This window comes from Homo sapiens, chromosome 18 (assembly GCF_000001405.40).
Source record: "Homo sapiens chromosome 18, GRCh38.p14 Primary Assembly".
Lineage (NCBI taxonomy): Eukaryota > Metazoa > Chordata > Mammalia > Primates > Hominidae > Homo > Homo sapiens.
This window is the reverse complement of record NC_000018.10, coordinates 10921356-10940040: the sequence shown is the minus strand read 5'-3', so window position 1 is coordinate 10940040 and position 18685 is coordinate 10921356. Positions and strand designations below refer to the sequence as shown.

Below are 18685 nucleotides of genomic sequence, written 5' to 3'. Positions count from 1 at the left end.
TAAGGAACTAACATAGTCATATATATGTCCCTAGAGTATACATAATAATGAACTAACACAGTCATATGTCACACTGCCTCTGCCGAGGTATTTTTTTTTTAATTTTATTTTACTTTAAGTCACGGGATACATGTGCAGAATGTGCAGGTTTGTTACATAAGTATACATATGCCGTGGTGGTTTGCTGCGCCTATCAACTCATCATCTAGGTTTTAAGCTCCCCATGCATTAGGTATTTGTCCTAATGCTATCCCTCCCCTTGCCTCCTAACCCCTGACAGGCCACAGTGTGTGCTGTTCCCCTCCCTGTGTCCATGTGTTCTCGTTGTTCAACTCCCACTTATGAGTGAGAACATGCGGCGTTTGGTTTTCTGTTCCTGTGTTAGTTTGCTGAGGATGATGTCTTCCAGCTTCATCCATGTCCCTGCAAAGGACATGAACTCATTCTTTTTTATGGCTGCATAGTATACCATGGTGTATATATGCCACATTTTCTTTATCCAGTCTATCATTGATGGGTATTTGGGTTGGTTCCAAGTCTTTGCTATTGTAAATAGTGTTGCAATACACACAGGTATGCATGTGTCTTTATAGTAGAATGATTTGTAATCCTTTGGGTATATACCCAGTAATGGGATTGCTGGGTCAAATGGTATTTCTGGTTCTAGATCCTTGAGGAATTGCCACACTGTCTTCCACAATGGTTGAACTAGCAAACTACAGGCCTCTCACAAATATACATTTTTTATTAGACAGGTACCACTTTTGTGGTAGATAATATAACTTTTTTGCATCCTCATTGTCAGTTCCAGCTATTCTATTGGCATATATCCATGAGCTAAACAATGGCTCAGAATTAAAATTTTGGTACAACCCAAAATATAAGATTTATGAAAACTCCCACTTTTTAAAGAATTGTTTCTTGAAAGCATGTTAAGAATGTAAACTTACATTTTTTTTTTGTTTTGTTTTTTGTTTTTGAGACAGAGTCAGTGACATGATTTCGGCTCACTGTAACTTCTGCCACTCTGGGTTCAAGTGATTCTCCTGCCTCAGCCTCCCGAGTAGCTGGGACTACAGGTGCCTGCCACCACACCTGGCTAATTTTTTTGTATTTTTAGCAGAGACAAGGTTTCACTGTGTTAGCCAGGATGGTCTCGATCTCCTGAACTTGTGATCTGCCTGCCTCAGCCTCCCAAAGTGCTGGGATTACAGGCATGAGCCACTGTGCCCGGCCTAATGTAAACTTACTTTTAAAGTGTGAATAATTGTTACCTAGTTATCTCTTTCATGTTAAAGAAATGTGCTTTTTGAAAAGTCATCTTCATTGTTCAACATAAATTAATTTATAAATATCTATTGAATATTCTCCTTTTTTTCTGGTCATGAAGAATCTTTCAGTATGTTTATAATCATCTATTAGAACAATATATTTTATTCATGACAGGTAAAGCCTAAATAATTAATTTTCAGTATTTTTCTGGAATTGCTCAAATCTAATTAAAACTACAAGCTAAAAATACTAAATCTTTGTTGACTTCCCAAGGAGGCCTCTTAAGGAGACTGATTTATGAGCCTTTCCTTCCTCCATCTAGCTCCGGATTTTTGGCAGAAGTCAGTGCCTAAAATAGGTGTTTGCTTGTGGTCAGACCTTGCTGCTATTAATACCTATTAGATGCCTAATATATTAGCTTTTATTTAGTACTTTATAGTTCTGTAGCACTTATCTCTTTGCAAAGTACTCTTCACACAATTATTTCAAGTTTTGCAAAGAAACATAGGAAATCAGTCTTAGTAACCCCATCCCACAGATGAGAGGTCTAAGACCAATGGCCTCAGTCCCGGTTAGTTCTGTGGGCTGAACTGAGATGTAACCACAGGTCTTCTGATCCCAATTGTTATGCCACAATGCCTTACTTCCCATTTTGATGAATTAGAGTGGAATTGAATCTAAAATGAGATCTTTACATGCCATTTCAGATGCTAAATTATTTGCACATTAGAGGCAAAACGTGCCTTCTATGTAGATGATTTATTTGAAAGTCACCTGCGTAATTTCTTGCTAAAAGCCACTTCTCTCATCTCTACTCCGTTCTCTGAAACCCACCATTTGTGTCAGAACTGGTTGAATTATAGCAGTTTTTTAAAGGAACACTTTAACGTGACTTAATTTATCATTTTCCTAGATAACCAAAAGTCCAGGCAAAGGCTATGAGAACATAGAGCATAACTCAGCAAAATGTCAGGGAAGAAGCTGTGAAAAGGACTCCTAGGACATCCTGGATTGCTTAGGAGAGACCAGAAGTGGCACTGGAGGATTAGGCGCTTGGAAGAAAATTCCCAAAATTTGGGAGACAAAGCATTAGGGGAATGAGAGGAATGAAGAAAAAATCCAATTTTGTGGGAATCCAGCTTGATGTTTTAATATAGGGTCTGTTTTTTCATTGCTTTCACCTGTTACATGGAGCTTTCACCTGTTACATGGAGCACAAAGACATAATGAACTAGCTCTGTACGGAGGGGAAATAACATATAGATATTTAGGCAAATCTGTGAGACTTCCCAATAATCTGTCAAATCCCAGCCACAGGATGAACATGGACCTCATCCTCCCTGTATGAAACTCACCACCAGTATTGTGGGCCTGGGACATGTGAGATGTCACATGCACAAGCTGCTCCAAAGAACATATCTCCAAAGGGTTTAGGATGCCCCAGTTAAGAGGCCAACCTCAAAACCAAGAAGATTTCATGAAACCTCCTTGTGTTTGCTAGGAAAGAACCCTGAAATCTGTAAAGTACTAACCCAAGGGAGGTCACTCTTCATTCATTCACATAGTAGTTCCTAGCATTAATGGCTCCACTGAACTATTTCAAGGAGCTATGTTTAATTTTTTGCCATCTCCTGGTCATTACACGTAATTTTCTAGTAAATAGTTTACTCTTCATAAACTAAATATTCATTTCTCTTGATGACAGTAAGCTGGATAGTCTGTTGTAGGAGTCGTCATTGTGGAAGAACCAGAGTAGACTTAAAATAAAAATTCTAAACAAGCTTAAAAACTTCCCAGATCTCCAGGACCGTAAGGGAAGAAGTCATGGGGGGATTCACAAGGAGGGAGTCAGTAGCTAAAGGGCTCTAGCACAATGCCCTGAGCCTGGTTTCACTGCAGGATTCCTGCCAGACGAGCTGCACACTGGAAGGAGCACTTGTTGGTTTGTCTGCACAGTCCCACAGTTTTGTCTTCAAAACAGAACCCAGCAAAATTGAGCTTTCAATATTTTGTTTTTCTTATCTCTAGCAAAGATATATTCCACTGGGCTATGTTTTTGATTGCCTGTCCTGAAGCGATGACATCTGACTGTTTCCTTCCTACATTCAAGCACTGGAATTCTAGCCCCAGGCCTTTTAGTTTTGGCAGAACTCTTACAACTTATCTGCCAGGCCCTTAACATCCCCCCATCCAGAAGAATTAGCCAACTAGCACATCAGCAAAAATAAAGGGACAGTGGTAGGCAACATTTTCGCATCGGTAGCCCTGGACCAAGGACTTGCCACAGGCTGGTTGTTGCAAAGCCTCCATTCTTTGGTTTCCTAAGACTTTTTTTTGTTCTTTTTAAAAAAAATTTTCGGAGGAGTATGTTAAAAGGCAACCTCAATGAGGCCAGACTCCAGGAGACATTCCAAGACAAGCTCCACCTTTATAAATCCCATGAAGGTTTATGAGCTGTAAAGTTTGCATTACTTTTTATAAAAAGAGAAATTGCGACATTGCAATTTCAGAACTCAGATGCTAAAACTATGCTGACTAGAAAGTAAGGCAAGGCCCCAAGGAGAGGCATTCATGCTTTGCGAAAGAAAGCATCACATTTAGTTCTAGAAACTGCTGGGAAGGCAGATGCAAGCTCACAGCCCTAATAGTGATCTCCACAAACCATTGCTTCTCTTGCTTTGAAAAGTAATTGGAATTTTGGTTCCTATACAAAGACCTCCCAAGACATCTCCAAAGATACCAACCTGTGACCCTGTGTAGAAAAGAGAGTTTTGAGGCTGCCATTTTTAATAAATTACTTCCCATTATGGCCCACTATCACATCTTTCTTCAAAAGTCATAAGAAAAATGACAGTACTGAAAGTTTTGGAATGTCCTTCCAAGTAAATGTGGGTTCAAGAAAGCTGCACGTGAGGAAGGTGACTGTTGGTCCAGCCACTGCCGGAGCGTTGCTGCTGGCGAGGCAGGAGCAGGGGCCGTGGTCATGCTGCAGATGAGAGAAGGTGGAGTGAACAATGTGGCATGCTCGGCCCACTGGCAGCAGAATTAAGAGTTCTGGCACTTCAGCAGCGGCCCCAGTTGCTCTTGGTGAACAAAGTTTGCCTTGCTAGAAGCCAAGATTTGTTCATGGTTCTAATCCAGCCAGTTTCTTTTATGCACACTAAAATATCTTTTTCATAAAATCTTAGGTTCTCAAGACTTGAAAGAGCAATGTGCCCCATTCCTTTCACCTCTGCACTGAATTTTATCTACAGTACCAGGAACAGAGTCTTTTCTCAAACAATGGAGAGTTGTCATCCAATTCTGTTTGCTAGGCAGCTCTTCTTTAAAGGGAACAAAATCTACCTCCGTTGTTATTTTCATCCCCAACTCCTAATTCTGCCCCCTGAGTAGCTCTCAGCTGCCTAACTGCTCTTCTGGGCAGTTACAATCTGAGAGCAGTTACCTTCCTCTTTGTTCATTACTGTGAAACAATTCAGGCTTCTTCCAGGCAAGCAAATCTTTCTATTCATAATCATGTGTGGCATCGCGGAGAACATTTTCTGCAGGTCTCCCACAGCATACTTTCCCCAAGAAGAAAACCAGGAATTCTACCATGATATTCTCCTCACATACAAAACATGACATTTAAAAAAATGGTAACAGCTATCTATATAGTTTAATGGAATTAGGTAAGGACGAAAACAGAAACAGTCTGATCAGAGAAGCAACCCTGTAGCATAGTGGTTAGAGCACAGACATCACAGCCAGGTGGCCTGTGTGAGAATCCTGGCTTTTCTGCTTCATGATTGTGTGATCCTGGGCGAGTCAGTTAACCTCTCTGTGGCCTCGGTTGCCACGTCTGTAAGGTGGATATAGTAATAGTCCTTGTCTTATGTAGTAGACATGAGGATTAAATAAAATGAGTTACTATTTGTAAACCCTTAGAATAGTATCTGCCGCATGGTAAGTTACAATTTAACAAAGGTGAAATTATCCTGCTGGGTCAGGTCTCAAGAGGAGTGAAGAACAAGGCATTAAGTTAAGCCCATTATTCCAGGTGTTTAGGCTTAGGTTAGGTGCTCTTGGCTCTGCCCAAGGAGCCCAACACACACACACACACACACACACACACACACACACACACACACACGTACACACAATACTGACAATTCCTAACCCTCCTCTTTTCTAATTCTTTTCACACAACTCAAGTTACTGACTGAGATCAGTCGAAATTCCTTAGCATATCAACAAATGCTCTCTGAAATTTAAAAATAGGAATGAAAATGGGTTTTCTACCTGACTTGCGGGGGAGTGGTATTGTAAAAGCCCCTTTCATACTTTTCCACTGAATTTTGCTCGCCATGAGAGCCGCAGGAGTATGAATGTGCACCTGAAGCTGCAGGGCCTGAACACAGTCATGGACCTGCTTCTGCGCCTGGTGATGACTTGCAGGGAGGGACTTAACCTCACTCCTGGATGTGGAAGCCTCACAATGCCTGCCCTTCGTCACCCATGTACTGGGAAAATTACAGTAGTCACTACCTCCATAGTTTTTAGAACATGACAAGTTTTCAATTAACACTCCCTTTTTTGTATGAAAGCACTTTAATGGAATCTCATTGGTGGCACATGAAAGCTAACAAAGTCAGAAATATTTTGATAGACTGAAATTGTTTCCAGTATTGAAAAATAGCGGCATCATGCCATCTGTTCACCTGAGTTACCACCTGTATTAGTCTGTTCTCATGCTGCAAATAAAGACTTACCCTGGACTTGGTAATTTATAACAGACAGAGGTTAATTAACTCACAGTTTCACATGGCTGGGGATGCCTCACAATCATGGCAAAAAGCAAAGGGGAAGCAAGACACGTCTTACATGGCAGCAGGCAAGAGGGAGCTTGTGCAGGGGAACTCCCCTTTGTAAAACCATCAGATCTCTTGAGACTTATTCACTACCATGAGAACAGTTTGGGAGAATCCACCTGCATGACTCAATTATCTCCACCTGGCCCTGACCTTGACATGTGGGGATTATTACAATTCAAGGTGAGATTTGGGTGGGGACATAGCCAAATCATGTCACCGCCCCTTCATTCCAACCCATGAAAGGATTCTTTCCATGACACGTCTGCCTGGCACACAGTGATAGTGTGCAGGGTTCTTAAATTCCTCCAGCAAGTGTCTGGATGGATATAGAGGAGGTACAATTCCATCATCCCAAATCAATGGAAAATGGGATATCGGACATAGTGTATTCCCACGGTAGCGGGACTCTGTGTAGCATGCACCACAGTAACTACTTAAGGGACACATAATTAACTCTCTGTTAAAAGGCAAATAACAAGTAACAGGTTAAGAAACATATTGCAAAATAAATGAAAAAATATTAATATTTCTAATATGTAATCTTAGAAATGAAGAAGAAAATTACTCCAATGAAGAAATGGAGAAAGACAAAAATAGGAAATTAAAAGGAATTTTAAGTGGCCAATGTAATGTAAACGTTCAGTTCAATTGTCATTAGGATAAAACAATGTAAGTTAAGGAAAAAGCTAGGTATCTTTTTTTTTTAACCGATTAAATTGGTAAATATGTGAAAAGTTAATTGCCCACTGTAATCTCCAACCTTGTAGCCTTGTCCCTGGTTACAGTTTTTTGGCCATTCTTCCCTTTCTTCCAAGGAGTTCTTATATGGGCTAATAGGGTTCTTTGCCTCCAGGGTCCTCACCCTCCTGTTTGCTCAGCCTAGAATGTCTTTCCTCCACTCTGTTGTGCCTAAATGCCCCTTCCCTAAGTCCCTTTGCAACTTAGAGTGTTCTCTCCTTTCCTTTTCATATTTTTTTTTTTTACCTTTTTTAGAGAAGGGGTCTGGCTCTGTTGCCCAGGCTGGAATGCAGTGGTACAATCTTAGCTCACTGCAGCCTCGATCTCCTAGGCTCAAGTGATTCTCCTGCCTCAGCCTCCAGAGTGGCTGGGATGACAGGCTTGCACCATCACACCTGGCTAATTTTAAAAATTATTTTGTAAAGATGGGTCTCCCTATGTTGCCCAAGCTGGTCTTGAACTCCTGGGCTCAAGTGATTTTCCTGCCTCTGCCTCCCAAAGTGCTGGGATTACAGGCTTGAGCCACCACGCCTGGCTTTTCCTTTTCTTTTCCTTCCTAAAACTTACTGTAATTTTCAATCATGTCACTGCCTGTCATTATTGTGTCTCTTCTGCTCTGGATGTAACTGCAGAAGGCTAGGACCATGGGTGGTTTGCTCATCCCCGGAAACACAGTGACTGATATGCTGCTTAGATTATGGGAGCTACTCGATACATATTTTCCAAGCAGGTGGAGAATTCATGGCTATGTGATGATGTGGGTTTTTTGTTTTGTTTTGTTTTTGAGACAGTCTTCCTCTGTCACCCAGGCTGGAGTGCAGTGGTGCAGTCATGGCTCACTGCTGGCTCGACTTCCCAGGCTCAATTGATCCTCCCACCTCAGCCTCCCCAGTAGCTGGGACCACAGGCATGTGCCACCATACCCTGCTAATTTTTGTATTTTTTGTAAAGGTGGGGTTTTGTCATGTTGCCCAGGCTGGATGTGAAGTTATTAAGTCTCTCAAAAAAGTGTTGTGCTTATATAGTATGTTTAGTCATATGATATTGTTGTTTTGTAGGCAAAAATACTCAAATACCACCAACTTAGGTTCAACTTAGAACCTAATACAATTTTCAGAAGACATTTTTAGTTATAAGTTTGAAAAGTCATAAGCAAGGCCATTCTTTCACTATGTCTTGATCTAAAGATATATCCGTATCTAAGGATGTGTAAAGGGACAGCTGTATTCACAGCGTCATTCATTATTGAAACAACCAAAAAAGACAGAAACATACTGTGCCCAACCCAGAGGAACTAGCTAAATAAATTAAGGTACATTCATGCATTGAAATGGTTGGTGGCCATTACACATGTATTTTTTAGGAATATGGGTTGCCCTGAAATAATTTTATTACAAGAAATTAAGTCTGTTACATTGCAGTCTGTGAGCTTTCCCTCTCTCTCTCTCTCTCTCTCTCTCTCTCACACACACACACACACCACACAGAGAAAGAGTGAGAGAATGAGAGGGAGAGAGAACAGAAAGAAGTCCTGAAGGATATGTAACAACTTGTTAACAGTGGTTAATTTCTGTATGGTGGGATTACTCATGATTAAGTGAATATACATTACTTGTGTAATAAGGAAAAATCCTTTGAAAGTATTAAGTTCTAGAGTCTATTAAAATTATAAGTAGATAGGCCAGGCATGGTGGCTCACGCCTGTAATCCCAGCACTTTGGGAGGCCAAGGCAGGCGGATCACGAGGTCAGGAGATCGAGACCACCCTGGCTAACATGATGAAACCCTGTCTCTACTAAAAATACAAAAAATTAGCTGGGCGTGGTGGCAGGCGCCTGTAGTCCCAGCTACTTGGGAGGCTGAGGCAGGAGAATGGTGTGAACCCAGGAGGCGGAGCTTACAGTGGGCAGAGATGGCGCCACTGCACTCCAGCCTGGGCGACAAACAGAGCGAGACTCCGTCTCAGAATAAATAAATAAATAAATACAATAAAATTATAAGTAGATATATATTTAGATAGCTGGATGACAGATAAATAGAGAAGAGAGAGAGTAGGAAGAATTATTCAGTTGAGATCTACACCTCAGACCCTACCAAATCATGAGTGACTTGCACCTAATACAGTTACATGTCAGAGTTCTTAATTTTATAATTGCAGTCTAGAATAGCAAATATAAAATTCTACCATTTAAAATAAGCTATTCTTTATTTATTTTAAAGTAAAAAGGCTTAGAAAAACCAAGGACAGCCTCTGTATGTCATACCATGGTGCTTTTAGACAAACAATAGGAGGTTACCTATAGAGACATCGGTTACCTACAGAGACATCAAAGACCTCTTTCTCTAAATTTAAGACACATTTGACTTTAAGACAGAATTTCAAAAAAATTTATCTTTAATAACTGCCTATGTCTTTGTTTTTGACAAGATGTTTTAGTTATTTTACTCTCTTCAAAGGATAGAGAGAAACTCATTAAGTAAATGTGACCAGATCATGTAGGTTTTATCCATGGTGTTGTAAACCAAAAAGTATCTGAAATAGGTCTCAATCAATTTAGAGGTTTGTTTTTGCCAAGGCTAAGGATCATGACCTATGACACAGCCTCAGGAGGTCCTGAGAACATGTGCCCAAACTGGTTAGGTTACAGCTTGATTTTATACATTTTAGGGGACAGAAGTTACAGGCAAAGACATAAATTAATACATATAAGGAGTACATTGGACAGCCCAGAAAGGGGGAACGTCTAAGTCATAGGTGGATTTAAAGATTTCCTGATTGGCAATTGGTTGAAAGGGTTAAGCTCTGCCTGAAGAGTTGAAATCAGCTTTAGTTAAGGTAAGAGGGTGGGAGTTGTGGAAGCCAAGTTCTTGTCATCCAGATGAAGTCTCCAGGTAGCTTGCTTCAGAGACAATAGATGCTAATGTCTTTTATGGGATCTTAAAGGGTGTCAGACTCTCCAAAGCGACCTAGTAAGGAAAGGAGATTTTCTAAAGAATGTAAATTTCCCCCACAAGAGACAGCTTTGCAGGGCCATTTCAAGATATGTGAAAGAAATATATTTCAAGGTAAAATACTTAGATGTACCTCAAGGCCTGCTGTCATGTGATGCTATACCAGTCAGGCTGGAATTTGGTATCTTATTGCCACAAAAAGTTTGTTCTGTCAGTCTTAGGATCTCTGTTTTAATGTTAATGCTGGTCCGTGGTGCCTCAACTCCAAAGGAAAGAGGGTATAATGAGGCATGTTGGACCCCACCTTCCTGTCATTGTCTGAACTGGTTTTTTAGGCTTCTTTGGGCCTCCTGGGCTGAGGGGCAGTCCATTCAGTCTCTTGGGGGCCTTAGAATTTTATTTTTGTTTACAGCACCATAAAGGAGGATCAGGAAATAATAACATATCTCCCACCACTCCTACTTTTATAAACCCAAGATCTCCCTCAGGTCAAGCATACACATTCTAACATTCCGTCCATCTGCTCTATTGTATCAAACTCCATTAAACACTGTAAAAGACTAAGTTATGGGAGAGGATAGCGGGATCTGTCCTGAGACCCGAGAGGTTGGTAGAGGCATTTTCCTCTCACAGTCTTGCCAATAACTTCTCAGCCCCTCAAAGGCTGTGGATGTGATTTTCTACTCCTTTTTTGAAATGGTCTCAACATGCAACTTTTGAAATGCAAAATTTTTGTTTACAGCAAGCAACTGGCAAAAGCATTTTGTTCAAACATTCCAATCTTACTTAAAGATATGGGAAAACATGTCTGAATCTGATCAAAATAATTCGGAGTTTCTTTGCGCTGGTCTGGAATTCATAGCATTATGAATTGCCTCAGTCACAACAGCATATGTGGGGTACCCATGCATGCAGCAGCATAACACCTTCATATGATGCGTGCACGTTTGCAGCTCGCTCACACTTTTAATTTCTTTTCTTGAGTTCTCCATTTCAGAAGGGCAGTGAGTTGAGGTGCTCCAGCTCATCACATAAACAAGAGTGTTTTCTATGGCTCTAATTCATATTGCAGCTGTGGTTAATGCTGTGAGTGTTTACATAAAGACTGATGCATGGATACCTTTACAACAGCAGCTGGGAGACCACAGTCAGCCAAAACCTCAGCAAAGTACCGTAAATCATTTTGAGTCAGCAGTGAGACAAACCAAAAAATCTTTTTTTCTCTCTCCTGTTAATGCATTTGAATTAAACCATTAAACAGGGATGAAGGTGAAGTGTTGTAAAAGTTTTGCACAAGTAGGACAGGGGAATGTTTGACTTTGGACACCGTGAGTAGACGTGCATTACTCTGCACCTTTCATCCCAAATGCTTTATAGGCTAGTTCCAAATGTTCCTCTTCTTTGAATTACTGCCTGGGAAGAGATGTCTTGGCCGGTAAAATAGGGGAGAAATGGATGCTCCAAGGAAGATGGCCACAAATCTCTCTAGGTCACTAATAAATAGGGGGAACTTTTGGCTATTATAATGTTAGATCCAGAAAAATCTGAATTTAATGCGTACTTGTGGAACAGGATGTGATGGCATGAAGGCCTGGGATCTGAATGGCTAAATCATTTGTTCCACATTTATAACATTTATTCATTTACAACAAAACTTTTGTGTTTATTTTATTTATAATATTTATGTGCCAGGCACTGTTTAAGAACTGGACTTTAAAAAAGGATGAAACTCTGGCTCCCTCCCCTCAAAAGGGAAGTGCAGAGTGCTTGGTGGAACAGGGAAATCACAGCACAAAAATAAAACAAATCAAGCGTGCCTGTCAGTGAGAGTCCTAAGCTGGCAAATGAGAGCAGTGAGTATCCAACAGCCCCTCTTTGCTTGGAGCGGCCATGCCTCTGTTTTGACTTTGGTAAGACTTCTGTCTGTTTGACAGGCTTGATGAAACGTTTTCTTAGATGACAGTGTACTCTGGAATCAGAGTCCATGGAGCTTCCTTTGATTTGAAGCCTTCAGGTTTTCCCTCATAGCTCCCCCGCTTTCCCTTACTGTAATATGGAAACTGATACTTATTCAAAGCCAGACTTCATTCTTTCTTTCCTAATGGCGTGTATGAGCCTTCACGTATTGCTTTCTTGTGAGATCACAGCTGCAAGGCTGCCCTATGAGTGGGGCGTCACCACACCAGTGTATGGTATTGTTATTAAGGAAGGGTATGCTTGTGAAATTTTGAATCTTCCTTAGTCTAAATACATTAATCCACGTCTAAGTTCTTTGGGTTTGGTCTCCTGCCCTCTTTCTACACATTTTATTCCCCTAAAAATGCAGTTTTTATATCTCCAATTTGACCTAAAGCAAATAGAGTATAAAATAAAATAAAGCGAGCCTGCTATAGTTATCAACCCCAGAAAAGCTTACGAGTTGTAGACAGCACTAGTCTGGCTTGCTTTGAGCTGGACTACTGAAAAACCACAGAGAGAGGAAAATTCTGTAGTTTGTCTAAGAACGCTTTACCTTTCATTTTAGGTACGATTAAATACCTCAAATTTGAAAACACTATATATATATAGACTTTTTAAAAGTCTGATATTTGCTGCATTCTTTAAATGTGTATTGATTGCTTTTCAACTGGTTCAAATTTAAAACTAAGGGATTCTGCGCTGTGCCAAGAGATTAGTCAGACATTCTTTTGTGTAAATGTAATGTTCACAATATTTATCAGTAAAAAGCATGAATCTGAAGAAAAGGCTTGGCTGTCACAGAACTGTTACATCAGCTCCTCTCCGATGGCCTGGGGGAGCCAAGGCGTCCCCCACCCACGGCCTGCGCTGCAACCTGTCTCCTTTAAACAGACCTGGAAACTGCATCCTGCTAAGTATCCCATCTAACCCATTTCAAATTTCTGTGCGTAAATCAGAGTCCTCCTCGGAGGCTTTGCTGAGCCAAGAACTTGAGCTTCCAAAGGGGTCACCTTTAAAAAATAATAATAATAAAATAAAATAGGAAAAAGAAAAGCAAAACCCTGACCTCTGAGAGATCTGAAAGACGAATCAGATAACATGGAAAAGTGGCTGCCAGTCTCCGGAGAGAACAGAGGATGCGAAGCAAAGAAATCCAGGAAGTGTGCAGCTCGCCCCCTCCTCCCGCGTGTGACCCAGGTCAGAAACGCAAGGCTCCTCCTTGGTCCTTGTGGCCACTAAGTGAAACAAAGTAATGAGTAAGACATTTGTATTCTTTCTTTCACAAAAGGAGATAGGAAGAGCTTGTGCGGCAGGAAGTGTCTGTTTCACCGTTAGACTGCATAGTTACTTGGACATATATGATAAAACCTCAGGAAATGGACTAATTCAAAAGGGTGTTCAGTTTAATTGTGTTTCCTACTCAGTGACAGCATTTTAAGTCCTTGCTGTTGAGAATCTTTCTATTACGCCTTTAATCTTGCTCCAGCAAGAACATCTCAGAGTCGTGGTGGCTGCCACCCTTGGCAGGCTGATCCTACCAAGAGGACGGGGTATTTTGCCAAGTGTGCAGAAAATGGCCCGGACATGATATTTTTCATCAGCTCTTGCTTTCAGTTTTTTTCGTTTTCAATTATTCCTTTTCCTAAAAGCTGAGTACTAAAAGGAAAAAATGCTCAATTAGCATAAAATGGAAGTCTGATTGTTGAGGGGGCTACCTAGGTGGAGTCACTGTGAACTGCTTTTTTCTGTAGTTGATTTATTGGGCCCAGATTTTCATAGGCTCCTATTTTAAGCCTGTTTCATCTGCCTGATTGAACTGAGCCCGTCCAGCTGCTAAGATAGTCACCAAAAATATGTTCCACCCACTAGTGCACTGCAAATTTGTAATAACCAGATAATGGAGAAAAGATCTGGATTGTAGTATTTACTGATATTCATGGCTTAAATACTCCTACCATGGGCGATGCCAAGCTGTGAACGTGACGCCGCTGAATGTGGAGTTGGGTAGAGATCCCGAGCAGCTGCCACCGCCTCCAGCACACCCGGTCTCCCCCGGCAGTGGTCAGCCAGGAATGCCCCTGAGGGCCAAGCCCTGAAGATCTGTGACCTCCTGCACCCTGACTCAAGTCTACTCGTGTAGGCACTAGTTTTCTGTAGCTTTCTCACCATCCAGTGCTCTCCCCTGGAATGCAAACTGAACCAGAGAAGGAAGCCTGGGGAGCTTCTGCCTAAGATCTTAAATGAAGAATTAATATTTCTCTAACAGCAGCCAGTTGGAGGGAGTGTAGCTAACTTAGAATGAGTGAAAGAACAACCATAAAATCAAACCTCAGATTACAGTTCATCCGTCACTTTTGGAAACAAAAAACAAAAAACACTGCTTACATTAAAAAACTTTTGGCCAGGCGCGGTGACTCATGCCTGTAATCCCAGCACTTTGGGAGGCTGAGGCGGGCAGATCACGAGGTCAGGAGATCGAGACCATCCTGGCTAACCCAGTGAAAACCAGTCTCTACTAAAAATACCGAAGATTAGGGCGGGCGCCTGTAGTCCCAGCTCCTTGGGAAGCTGAGGCAGGAGAATGGCGTGAACACGGGAGGCAGAGCTTACAGTGAGCTGAGATTGAGCCACTGCACTCCAGTCTGGGGGACAGAGGGAGACTACGTCTCAGAAAAAAAAAATTTTTTTTCACTTTTTGTATAAACCCTTGCATTTTGACATTTATCTCCTCCCTCTTTATTTTCTTCATGGAATGTGTGTGCATGCAGCCTGATTATTTTTATCACCTGTCCCTCAGTATGCCACAAGATCCGTGTTTACTGCCGTATCCTACTGTCCATTATATTTGAGGGATCAATCAACATTTATGGAATAAATTGAGTGAGTGTCTTGCTTTTACCTGTCTCATGGATGTTATTAAATTAGCGGGTCTGTTTTATTTCCAACATTTTAACCCAAAGGTAATACCTGACATTTAAGAGCAAAGCTAATTTAAATAATGACAGAACTAATCATGTAGAAATATGCAATGTTCTCAGGAATATGGTACTTGAAATCAAAATCTTGAAATGTGTGACACATGGTAAGATTTTTCTACATACATTTAACAATACATTTACTATTTTATTATATATCATGGCATATATTTTTATCAATTGTATTAAAAATGAAGAACTATAAACCACCAGGCCCTCCATATAATAAATAAACATTATGGTCTTTTGTCTGAACTTTGTATTTGACATATGTTCAGGAAAAAGAAGAAATAAGCTGCTATTGTAAGTTTAAACTAAATGTGCTTCATAAGTTTTTATTTTTCATAAAATTTTTAACTATCAAAGTGTCTATGGCATTTCTTTATTTAATTTTAACAAGCGAACATTACTATTTGGCACACACTTCTGGCAAGGTGGAGTTTGTAGTTAGTGTAAAGAAAGCCACAAGCTGTACAAAGCAATTGTAACGCCTTATAAGATGCCCCAAGGAATATAAAAGAAAAAATCCTCCGCCTATGGAAACTGAGAATGCTCCATTGAAATGCTTGCCAGTATTATATAAATCATGGCAAATAAGAAAAATGAAATTACCCTATTTTCTTCTTATTTCTCTCAAAAGAGAAATTTTTGTTGGGCAAAAATGCAATTGTTTCTTAAGATACCTTGTTGGTCGACTTTGCATGTGCTACTTTTCTCAGTCATTTTGTGTCCTTAGCACACGTGTGGGGCCGCAACATAGGACCTCTTTGAACTTCTGCACAAATGACAGAATCCCCGACATTGCATTTATGTTCTCTTGTGTATTTTTAAGGGACAGTCTCATAAACACCACCAATCTGAATATTTTTATAAGCCCTTTATGAAGGATTTAAGTTTAAATGAGTAAGTTACTTATGGATTTGACCTTAATACACATTCTATGCTTTTCCCCTAGGATAATTTCAGGGGAATTTTGGCAAACAGACACTAAAAGCAAAAGTATATAATGCAACATGGATAAACTGAAACAAACCACAAAACATAACGGTGCGCCAAATTAAAAAGAGAAGCGACACTAAAGCATCTTTATGTTCATTTTAACTCACACTTTTGCTTCAGAGTGTGTATGTTGCAAGGGTTGGGTGTGTGTGTTGGGACAGAGTGGAGAGCAGGAATTGGGCTGTGGTGGCTTTGGACAATAAGTGTCTTCTGAGCCATGCCTGTCTGGCAGCATTATTCATTTAAACACTGGCTGAGAACCTTCAATTACTGGTGGCTACCATTTATCTACCACCTACTTTGTGCCAGAGACTGCTCAGATGCTTTGATTACATATCCTCATTGCAGTTATGGGAAGAGTGTGTTGACCTTCATTTTAGAGATGCCTTGACTGACTCATAGAACTACAGCACGTGTCCCAATATGATATCTGACCCATGGCAGGGAGGCAAGTGGGGATTCAAGGCCAAATTAATTTGCTGCAAGAGTTGAATCATTGCCATCTGCCCTGCTGAAATTGCAGGCATGGGTACTTCATTTACAGTTCTGAGAGAAAACTGACAGAGGGAGATGAGCACCATGGGTGCAGTTTACTCAAAGTATATGCAATAGCAAGCTACTCTGAGGAGGGATAAAAGCTGAGTGTCATTGAAGCTACTGAAACATATTTGAGACCTAGAAAATAAGTACAAGTGAAGCAAATATTAACTTACAAAGATGTTGTGGCATTTAAGGGTCAAGACTGCCAGGCTGTCCTTAGGGAGATTCTCTAACGTGGCCTCTTGCTCAGACACAGGTCTTTCCTCTGCTGCACCGGACCACAGTCACAGCCACTCTTGCTTCATTGGAATGCTGAGATCCACCTTTGTTCCTGAAAGCACATCCCTGGAGGTGGAGTACAGACTTGGAATTATAACAATTCTCACTTTCTAGTGATTTGTCACTTAGGAAGTAATTTGCCTAGAGATTTTTATCTGATTACATTTTTATTTCATTATATCATGAAGTTCATGTAAGAATGAGTACGATGAAATCTTATGCAAGCGTCTTAGAATTTCATATAAACCAGAGAACTGATCCATTATAGAAGCAGAGTGTAGTAACAGTCTGAAGTCAAGTTTAAGCAGTTTTCTGGGCAAATGTAATGCTTATGAGACGGTGCAGGAAACTCCTATTCATCTAGCTTTGAAATCACTTAAATTATGGTTACTGGAAATGTCTTCTATAGTCAACTTTTTTGAGAAAGAGACAGAAGACAAATAAACCAATGGGTATCAGAGGTTTGTTTTTAAAGTAGCTTTCAGAGCATATCATGGAGCCCATTCAAAGGCAGCTCAGAATTTCAGACTTACACAGTAAAGGTCTATTCTTCATAATGAAGAACATGGCCATATGCTTAAGTATTTTCTAAATTGTCTAAAACAGATGGCTTTATTTTGTATAGTTTTGGTGTTCTGTATGTTATAGTTCTTTGAAAAGTATAATCTATGTAAGGATTTTGTAATAACTGCATTTATGTAAATACGGTCAGCCAGCTTGCCTCTCCATGCACTCACAGCTTATGAGTCCTGCCTGAACTCCCTGCCTGCCTGCCCATCCCCTGCTGCACATCCCCTGCTGCACATCTGACCCCAGGACAGTCGTCTTCTGTTTCCTCTGCTCTCAGAGTCCTCTGTCTGTTCATGCCATGCTCCTCTACTCATGCTCAGGGTCTTCTCCTCGCTCAGCTACTAAGGAATCTGGAAACGTCCTTTCCTCTGTGTTGTCAGCCTCTGCTCAGCCCCTGGTTCCTACCCTTCAGTTTATAAGGACTCCCATGGGTCTTGCACTAAAGGGCCACCTTGTCCTTTGGCCTCACCTCATCTCTTTGTCTGTCTCACCTCCCACCTGCATTCTCATCCCTTTCCATCTCCGTTTTTTCTGTTTTTTTAAAAAGAGAAGTATCAGGGAATCTGCCCCGACAGTCACATAGGTTCTTTTCTATTTTCCCTAAGCATTGGCTGGTTTGAGAAATAAAGGGACAGAGTACAAAAGAGAGAAATTTTAAAGCTGGGCATCCAGGGGAGACATCACATGTCGGTAGATTCTGTGATGCCCCACAAGCCGCAAAACCAGCAAGTTTTTATTAGGGGTTTTCAAAAGGGGAGGGAGTGTGTGAACAGGTGTGGGTCACAGACATCACGTACTTCACAAGGTGATAGGATATCACAAGGCAAACGGAGGCAGGGCGAGATCACAGGACCACAGGACCGGGGCAAAATTAAAATTGCTAATGAAGTTTTGGGCACCATTGTCATTGATAACATCTTATCAGGAGACAGGGTTTGAGAGCAACTGGTCTGACCAAAATTTATTAGGCAAGAATTTCCTCTTCCTAATAAGCCTGGGAGCGCTATGGGAGACTGGGGTTTATTTCATCCCTACAGTCTCGACCATAGAAGACGGCCACACTCAAGGGGGCCAGTTCAGAGACCCACCCTCAGGCGAGTATTCTCTTTCTCAGGGATGTTCCTTGCTGAGAAAAAGAATTCAGTGATATTTCTCCCATTTGCTTTTGAAAGAAGATAAATATGGCTCTTTTCCGCCCGGCTCACCAGCGGTCAGAGTTTAAGGTGATCTCTCTCATTCCCTGAACAATTGCTGTTATCCTGCTCTTTTTTCAAGGTGCCCAGATTTCATATTGTTCAAACACACATGCTCTACAATTTGTGCAGTTAGTGCAATTATCACAGGGTCCTGAGGCGACATACATCCTCCTCAGCTGATGGGATTAAGAGATTAAAGACAGGCATAGGAAACCACAAGGATATTTACTGGGGAAGTGATAAGTGTCCATGAAATCTTTACAATTTAAGCTTAGAGACTGCAGTAAAGACAGACATAGGAAATTATAAAAGTATTAATTTGGGGAACTAACAAATGTCTATGAAATCTTTA

General features: G+C 40.9%; 1 protein-coding gene across 11 annotated transcripts in view, besides 3 other annotated features; it reads left to right on the top strand.

Moving 5' to 3' along the window:
* Nucleotides 1-18685, top strand: part of PIEZO2 (piezo type mechanosensitive ion channel component 2) — a 479323-nt gene that overhangs the window by 209529 nt on the left and 251109 nt on the right. The window lies entirely within an intron of this gene.
* Nucleotides 10674-10763: an enhancer, noted in NCBI's record as "active region_13087". NCBI's record gives its function as "activates an Ori minimal core promoter by ATAC-STARR-seq in GM12878 lymphoblastoid cells {active_cell/tissue: GM12878}" and the evidence as "EXISTENCE:reporter gene assay evidence [ECO:0000049][PMID:35858748]".
* Nucleotides 10774-10883: an enhancer, noted in NCBI's record as "active region_13086". NCBI's record gives its function as "activates an Ori minimal core promoter by ATAC-STARR-seq in GM12878 lymphoblastoid cells {active_cell/tissue: GM12878}" and the evidence as "EXISTENCE:reporter gene assay evidence [ECO:0000049][PMID:35858748]".
* Nucleotides 17723-18224: an enhancer, noted in NCBI's record as "NANOG hESC enhancer chr18:10921815-10922316 (GRCh37/hg19 assembly coordinates)". NCBI's record gives its function as "activates a minimal SCP1, AML or CMV promoter by ChIP-STARR-seq in naive H9 embryonic stem cells {active_cell/tissue: H9 hESC(naive)}" and the evidence as "EXISTENCE:reporter gene assay evidence [ECO:0000049][PMID:30033119]".